The sequence below is a fragment of the Homo sapiens genome, chromosome 5, assembly GCF_000001405.40.
Source record: "Homo sapiens chromosome 5, GRCh38.p14 Primary Assembly".
NCBI classification, from domain to species: domain Eukaryota; kingdom Metazoa; phylum Chordata; class Mammalia; order Primates; family Hominidae; genus Homo; species Homo sapiens.
In genome coordinates, this window is record NC_000005.10 from 168,599,618 (window position 1) to 168,608,527 (window position 8,910).

The 8,910-nt window shown below is 45.8% G+C and overlaps 1 annotated feature.

Moving 5' to 3' along the window:
- Positions 691–1,233: an enhancer, noted in NCBI's record as "NANOG hESC enhancer chr5:168027313-168027855 (GRCh37/hg19 assembly coordinates)". NCBI's record gives its function as "activates a minimal SCP1, AML or CMV promoter by ChIP-STARR-seq in naive H9 embryonic stem cells {active_cell/tissue: H9 hESC(naive)}" and the evidence as "EXISTENCE:reporter gene assay evidence [ECO:0000049][PMID:30033119]".

Sequence of the window (8,910 nt, forward strand, 5' to 3'; positions counted from 1 at the left end):
CTCCACATATTGCTGGGGTGGAAGGCAAAATTGCTCCCAGTTGCAAACCACTGCTTTAGATAAAATGCCAGACCTTCATGCCTAAAGCTGCAGACCCCAGCACCCACCTTTGCACTTCACTTCCCAATTTGTATTGCGGGGTGAGGTGTCAGAGCCCCAGCATTGAGAAGTAGTCAACTCGCGGGTTGGTAAAAAGAATTTACCAACCACAGTATACGCTTGAAAAAGGAAGGTTTATTAGAAAGAAAGAATGCCGCAGAAGGGTGCAGCGAGGCGCCTCAGTGATTTTTCCTTAGGGGTATTTATGGACCTTAAAGTGGGAGCTTAAGGGTAATTTGAACCATATTAGCCACATAGGTCATGATAAATGATTACATTTGTAGACATTTTGGTGCCTTAATGTCAGCAAGGATTGCACAATGAGTTTCGACATGGCGTTCCAGAGATGCATAGAAATTCTAGTTTTACTTATAAGTTTTTTCGACGGGGAAATAAATCTAGAACCGATGCCTGCTTTAGATACTAGGGAAGTCTAATTACTTCTAATTTTCCCCAGGTAAGGAATTTTGCCTTCGGATGGCCTGTTTGATAGTCACCAGGTGGTCTTTGCTCCCTTTTAAATTCCTCAGGTTAGGAGTTTTTGTCTCGGGGCCTGTTCAGTGGTCACCAGGTGATTTTATTCTCCTCACATATGATTCCTTTTCCCTAGGTTTTTGCCTCCTAAACAAGCTGACATGAGGAGGAAACTAGATACCAATGCCAATTTTGTAGTGCTAGCATTGCAGAAAGGAAAATCTGTATAGCCTCCTCCGTCCTTCCATCTCTGAGGCCAAGCCCAGTCCTGCCCTCTTAATTACCTCCAGTGATTTCAGCAGACTGGGACTGTTGATCCACCCTGGCATAAAAAAACAACAGGCTTGGCCAGATCTGATAGGGCAGAGAAACCCGAGCCTTTCCCCTGTGCCTTTCACATGGGCCCCAGCTGGGGGTTGAGGGTCATGGCTTTGGTGGCTCTTAGCTGCAACACACTAGTTATTGCCTGAGGGAGAGGGGGAAGGGGTTCTGTTTCCAGAGGCTGCTCCAGAATTTCACAACAGGGGGGCCATGGGCATAGCAATCTGATTTTGGTAGAAACTGAGTTGGCTTGGTAAGCACATAATTGACCCATAGATTGTGTTATACGACTATAAAAATATCTTAGTTTTCTTAAAAAAAAAAGGCCTTTATTTACACTTTATATAAAATTGAGAAAAAAATGTTTATGTTAAAGATTGTGGCGGGGCGCGGTGGCTCACGCCTGTAATCCCAGCACTTTGGGAGGCCGAGGCAGGTGGATCACCTGAGGTCAGGAGTTCAAGACCAGCCTGGCCAACGTGGGGAAACCCCATCTCTTCTGAAAATATAAAACTGAGCCAGGGGTGGTGGAGCATGCCTGTAATCTCAGATACTTGGGAGGCTTAGGCAGGAGAATCATTTGAACCTGGGAGGCAGAGGTTGCAGTGAGCTGAGATCATGCCACTGCACTCCAGCCTGGGTGACAGAGCGAGACTCTGTCTCAAAAAAATAAATAAATAAATAAAGATTATTATGGTGGTAATGATTTCATCTGAGGTTGGGACTTTTTTTTGGCATTATTCTACAATCAGACCCTGTGGGGTAGGACTGGCATAGTTCTGTGACACTCTATTTTACCACTTTCTCCTTTGTTCATTTATTGACCATCTTGCTATTTCTTGAACACCAAGCTCCTTCAGGGCCTTTGCACTTGATGTTCCCTTTTCCTAGAATATACCCTGTCTTAGTCTGGTCAGGTTGCCATAACAAAATACCACAGACTGGGTGGCTTAAATGACCAAACATACCTCAGTTTCTGGAGGTTGGAGGCCCAGGATCAAGGTGCTGACAGAGTAGGATTCACTCTGAGGCCTCTTCTCTTGGCTTGTGGTGGGAGGAAGGTGAAGTGATGGGACACTGTAGTGTTTTTGCTTATGCAGACACTGGTCCTGTTGAATCAGGGACCCACCCTTGTGGCCTTGTTTAACCTTAATTACTTTTTTTAGAGGCTGCATCTCCAAATACAGCCACCCTGGGGGTTTGGGCTTCAGCACATGAAGTTTGGGGGGACACAAACATTCCTTTCATAACACTCCATGTTAGACCTTCACCTAACTTTGTCCCTACCTTGATTTAGCTCTTCGCCATCTACAGTACATCTTCTCCTGTTTTCCTGTCACTCTCTTTCTCCTCTGCTTTTACTGCCTAGTGCTACCTATAATTATTTTGTATTTAAAAAAATTGTGCTTATTGTCTATCCCTACCTCTTAGGTTCGTGTTAAGGATTATACAAGCTAGCCTAAATAAACTATTCATTGAACAGGTGTCCATTAAGTGCCTTCAATGTGCAAGGCACTACTGTAGGTTCTAGAGTTACAATGGTGAAAAAAGGCAGACATCCTCTCTGCCTTCACATAGGTTATAATATTATGGGAGCATTCATTGAACACTTACTGAGTGCCAGGTATGGTACTGAGAGTTCACTTAGATTATTTTGTTTGGTCATCAAAAAAAAAAAAAAAAAATCCTATGAGGGAGGTCCTATTGTACTAAATTTATAGAAGGGATGATTAAGGGCCTGAATCGATGAGCCACTTTTTCAAGTTCATCACTAGTTCAAGGTCTAATTAGAGCTGGATCTTGCAGTCTGACTTCAGAGCTGATGCTCTTGACTAGCACGCTAAACTGCAAGTAGAAGGCATGGTAGGGCACAGAGCACATTTGAGGGGATGAAACAAAGTCATATATGGCTGTGACCTCAACATTGGAAGACATTTGGCACTGATTATTCTCATTCACCATCAGTATTCTGCATCCACAGATGCACTTCACTATAACAAAATTTGCATATAAAACTTGCATGTACAAGATAGATATTTTGAGGGATTATTAAGAATGTTATTAAAAATCATTGCTATGGGATTCCTTTACTTTAGAGTGTGCAATAAAAAAGCACAATAGGGGCTTCAGAGGTGGACAGATCTGGTTTCAAATCCTTACTTTACCACTTAATGTCTTTGGAACCTTGGGCAGCTTCTGAGACTCAGTGTTCTTATCTGTGAAATGGGGATAATAATACCTAGTTCACAGAGTTCCAAAATATCCCTGCAAATAGAGGATACTTAATAAAAACTAGCTACCATTTATTATGCTATCATTTTCACAGTGCATTCAAACTATTATTTGAGTTTTAAAAATACTGACTTTACAGAAACATCTGTATTACATAAAGTGAGGCCAATCTGGAAGAGTGAGTTGCATAAATTGATCACTTGGAAGCATCTTCTTTTCCATCAGCTCCCCTGAACACCTCTAGGTAATCCCATCAGTCCCCAATTCCCTTTCCCCTGAAAGTGTCTTTGGGACTGGTGCCCTGCCAAGGTTCTGGGGTGGGGGTGGTGGAGGAATCCAGGTCCCTTGGCATAGTGTGTGACTCTTTTCTTTTTGCTTTCTGTTTCAACGGGAGGGAGTCTGCACCAGTGTTAGTAGGTTGGGTAAGAAAGTAGTGAGAAGAGGGAAAAAAGAAAGATGTGAACTCATATCCAAGTCATACCCAGTTCTCATTGGAGCTACAGAAACTAACTCCTTTTGGCCAGGACCAAAAAAATAAAAAATAAAAAAAAATTAGAATCTCATCATCTTTGGGCTTGTCAGACTGCATTGTACTCTGCCTTTTTTTCTTTCTTTTCTTTAACTTTTAAGCTCAGGGGTACATGTGTAGGTTTGTTACGTATGTGTCATGAGTACCCTAGTTTTGTCTATGGGTGTATAGAAGGCAACTGTGGGTTTCATCTATCCAATATCCATTCTTACTTCCTGGAATAGTAACTTGATTTTTTTTTGGGTGGGGGGTGGTGGGGAACCAACCTTCTCCTACTCTCAGGCAGATAAGTGTGTGACCAGGCCTGGCAATCAGCATGTCCTGTTTCTCTGGCCACAATGCTTCAAAGATGGCAATGTGAGCCAAAGCTGGGCCAACAAGGCTCAATTTTGATGCTTTTACTAGTCTTTCTTTTCCCCAGGGATGCTAAACCATGGGGGTGAAAGCTGCTTCTCCTGCTTTAACCCTCTGGAGAGAGCTTATCTTGGAGTGGAGCCAATGAGACAACAGTAAGACCAACCAGATGAGAGACCCATGCTCATAATACCATTTGAATTCTTCCATCTTGTTTTCAGTTACTTGAGCCAGTAAACCCAGTTCCTCTGGGTTTTGTTGGTGGTATTCTTTTGTGTTTGTTAAGTCAGTTTGATTTTGGTTTATGACACTTGGAATCAAAAGAGTTCTGAGTCATAGATCTGACTTTCTGAAAGTGGAGTGTGTGGAGGAGGCAGCCAGGATGGGAGGAGGTCTGAGAGCCATTCCATAGCAGGAACTCTTAGGGTGCCTAGCAGTGTTAGGCCTGAGGAAGAGGAGATTTCCTGTCTAGAGGGGCTGTCACTGGGCAGCCTGTCTAGTCTGGGTAGGTGTGCTCCTAGGGAGGCAGAAGTAGACCAAGGAGCCGGGCGCGGTGGCTCACGCCTGTAATTCCAGCACTTTGGGAGGCCAAGGTGAGGGGATCACTTGAGGTTAGGAGTTCAAGACAGGCCTGGCCAACATGGTAAAACCCTGTCTCTACTAAAAATACAAAAACTAGCTGAGTGTGGTGGCGGGTGCCTGTAGTCCCAGCTACTCAGGAGACTGAGGCAAGGGAATCACTTGAATCCTGGAGGCAGAGGTTGCAGTGAGCTGAGATCGCACCACTGCATTCCAGCCTGGTGACAGAGCAAGACTCAATCAAAAAAAAAAAAAAAAAAACACAACAACAACAAACAACAAACAAACAAAAAGAGACCAAGGAGAGGAGGTTAAAGAGGAGCAGATTCTAAGGATGTTACTTCCAATAGTAATTGCTGGAGTAAAGATGGGATTTCCAAGTCTGAGAGGTTACTAGAGCTGTCTGAGAGGAGCTGGACTGATGTAGCCAGAAGTGTGACAACACTGGGAGGGGCACATTTGGACTGACTTTGAGCTCCCTTTCTATTTTGGGAGTTTCTGGTGGAATGCAAAAATGTTTGACAATATCATTAAGCCTGGAATATGTGTAAATAAGCCAATATTTCACTAATACAAGGTCCCTTTGTAAGGACCATGTCTTGTTCTCTCCTCCAGCTTCAGTGGTAGCATAGGGCAGAAAGAAGCCGGGTAGTATGGTAAAGGCCCGAGAGTCTAATCCTGAGTTGTCATTTGCTAGATGAGTGCCCCTGGGCAAGGAACTTCCCCTCAGTGAGGCCGAGTGTCCTCTCTGTAACATGGATCCCCTGTTACCCACGTTTAGGGTGGACCCGGGCACTGGCCGTAAGGTATGGGAAGCACTTGCCAGATGTGTGGGCCCTACTCTGTAAATGACAGCTGTTATAGGTGTTTCACACCTGTTTATGCAGTGGATGGGCAGAGGTGTCAGGGAAGCACCGAGGAGACAACTCCTGACAACTGACAACTAGTTTCAGAGAGGAGCTGGGGTGAGGGCAGCTGGGTGCTGCTCTTGCTGCAGGACCCAGTGTCCTAGTTCTTGCTGCTTTTGTGATTTTTGTCCTTGAGAATTCTAGTTTTTCTTTCCTGATTAAGTTGGACCCAGTTAAGCTTCCCTAAGAAGCAGAGTCTGACGCAGGGACTTATGTTCCAGTGATGCACTGGGTCAGTGATTTCAGGGGGAGGGGAGGGAGCAGGACCAACTACCTAATTTGTGAGGTCTAGAGCAAAATGAAAATGAGGGACCCCTTCAAGACAAAAAAAAGAGGGAAAAAGAGTGTCTTTTTCTTCTTCTTCTCAGAAGCATGGGGCCCTTCTGAACAGCTGGCCCTATGTGACTGCATGGGTCTGATGCTCCTGCCCTGGGGTGAGAGAAGGGGATAGGGCAGGGAGAAAAAGCTTAGCAAGAATGCTGTCTCACCCAAAGACTAGCTTCAGTCTGATCCCATGGGGAAACTGAGTGCAACATACACCACAGTGTTAGTCCCTACTCCAGGCAAGGGGCTGGCCTCTGGTACTTCCAGACCCTGCAGTCATTGACCATGGTCTCATAGGCTGTGTGGGGTACAGCTTCCCTAGAGAGATGGCTCCTACTTGGCTGAGGGCAATTCTCCAGTGAAGGGAGCAGTTATCAGGTGTCATCAGCTAACACAGAAGCTGGGAGTAAGTACCCAGGTCCAGGAAAGGGCATCTGGATTGGGCACCAAAAGCAACCACTATAATCCACTTCTTGTGTCAATTCAAATCTACTTGCTTCTCATGTGAATTTTCCCCATGCCTTCACAGGATCCCTGGTTGGTCACAATTCTGGAAAACACAGGGAAGGGTGAGTGGGAGAAATCGCAGCACTCATTTCTGCAGTTGTTTCCCCTGGCATCACAGATACTCATCACCTTTTTCCTCCAACACTATATTAGGTTTCCCACCCCTCTGACTGGCACATCTGCTGGTCTGAGCGTCTCTCCTGGTGGGTGTGATTTCCTGGTTACCATGCCATCGTCAGGCCATGGTTGCTGTTTCTATTCGCAGCTATACCAGGGCATGGGCACACACAAGATGCCATGGAGCACCTGAGTGCCAGGCATGTTTCTTCCTGCTCCTGTGATGTAGCAGCAGTCCTACCTCTTCCTTCTCATCAGGGACATTTACCTCTGCCAATGTGGCAGTTCCTTTCAGTGTCTGCTGGTCTCTGGCCCAAGGAACCCAAAGTGACCAGGCAGCTGTAACTTGAAGTTTAGTGGGACTCTTACTGTGCTCCTTGGTGGAAACATTTCCCCACTTTGTAAACAGGACTTCTAGACCTGCAGAGAGTAAAATTTCAAAAACAGAAAGCATAAATTCCCCAAGTGAATCCCTGAGAGTGGTGTCATTCTTTGTCTGAAGACCCATATTTCCTACTTGTGGGGGACATGATACCATATAATGGCCACTGTTTTAAGGTATATGCCATGCCCCTTACACACACGGTTTAAATCTCTAAGCTGGTGTTTCAGTTGCACCTTCAAATGGCCATTCCATTACTCCATCAGGCTGGCAGCTTCTGGATGGTGTGGCACATAGTAGGACCTCATGGGCCCACCATAGCACCTGCTTTGCTTTAAGTCTGCTTGTTAAGCAATATTATTCAGGACCCCATGTGGGTAAATCAGACAGCCTATGAGCCCTTAGATGGTTGTACTGGCTAAAACAGTGCGGGAAGGAAAGGCAAACCCATTCTTGGAGTTCTGTAACAGCATCTCCTGTAGAAAACAACCACCATTGAGCTTCTCATGACACTGTTGGCTCCTTGCCCACACATTTCCTATCTCCTTGGTCAATGGAGAGCCCTCCTGGCCTTCCCAGGGACATGGTCAGCTGGTGGGTTTTTCTGTCTCATCCAGGAGGCCCATGCTAGCACGCCCATTTCTCTGAGCCTTTTCATCCTTCCCTCCACTTTGCAGTGGTAGTTCTGGCATCTCTACATTGTTCAGTGTGGGTCATTACTTTTTCCATCTTTTAAGAGCCATCTGGGCAGCACATCTGAACCATCCCCTTGAGCTCTTGCCAGGGTGTTAGATCCTGTGACACTGGAGAGAGCCCCTGCACATCAACAAACTCTACCTTACCCAGTTAATACTTCACCCCCCTTGAGGCATCCCCCAGAATCCTCCACAGTCACTCCCATCCCACCCGGCCATTGCAAGTTTGGGCTTGTACACGTTGGTCAGGTCTGATATACAATCCCTTTCTTTCCATAACAGGCCCAGTATTTCCTGAGTTGATCTAGGCAGACACTTTTCGCCTGGGTTATCAGTTTGGTGGCTAGGAGAAGAGGTGGGGCCAATCCCGAGGGAGGTCAGCATTGTTTTATAAGGCACCTGCCCTATTTAAGGCCTCTGCATGGTATTCCAGTAAGACGCATGGAGGTGGGGGCTCTATCATCCAGCAGGGGTTACAAGGACACTTCTGCAGTTTCAAAGGGTTCAGGAGTACCTGGAGATTCAAAGTTCTTATGTTTATACCTTTAAATAGCCCCTTCTTAGGCTCAGGGCCTCCTCTCTTGGTATTAGAGCCTTGTGTTTGGTATAAAGACACATGCTTTGCTGGTAATTGGCATTTGTTGAAGTCCTGCCACTCTTATAATGCAGTCCTGTGCTTGTTCTTCAACTGTGCCCACCCTCTAGCTGCAGGCGATGAGGGTCTCTTAAATGCTGCCAAATGGGCTGCTGACTCTTAGACTTTGCTTTAAGTTGTTGTCCAACGTGTCCATCATTTTTTCTCTTCAACAAATCAGCAGTGCTTAGCAAGCCACTGAGTTCCACACTCTTTGTTCACAGTACCCCTGCCTCTGACCTCTCAAATGCCAGAGAGGCCGTATCAGCTCTTGTACCCCTTCCAATGTTACCTGACCCTGTTCACCAGAAGTGAAAGTCTTAGCCCCCCACGCACTGTGGCACACCAGTCACTCTCAGTAGTGCCACCAATGATGGGTGCTTACTGCCATCTTGTCAGAGAAGGACCTAACCACAGAGTTTGCTTCTCAGTCACTCCTGGTACTGATTCATCTTGGGTTGGTTTTCCTGAAAGCAGAGCCTAAGATGGGGATTTTTGTTAAAGTGGGTTTTTTTGTTTTTTGTTTTTTGTTTTTGAAAAAACAAGGGGAATGAAGGAAACAAGATAAAGCTGGTGAAAAGCTAAGCTTTTCAGAATGTGGCCTCAGTGGGAATCTGGTTTTAGCCTGGTTTCCCTGTGACTCTCTGGAGCACAAATGGTGCCACAGAGATGGCCCCAACTTGAGGTAAGGGAGCCTGCTTTTTCTATCTCCCCATGCCAAGCAGTCATTGGCCCCCTCTCCTGCCAAGAAGCAC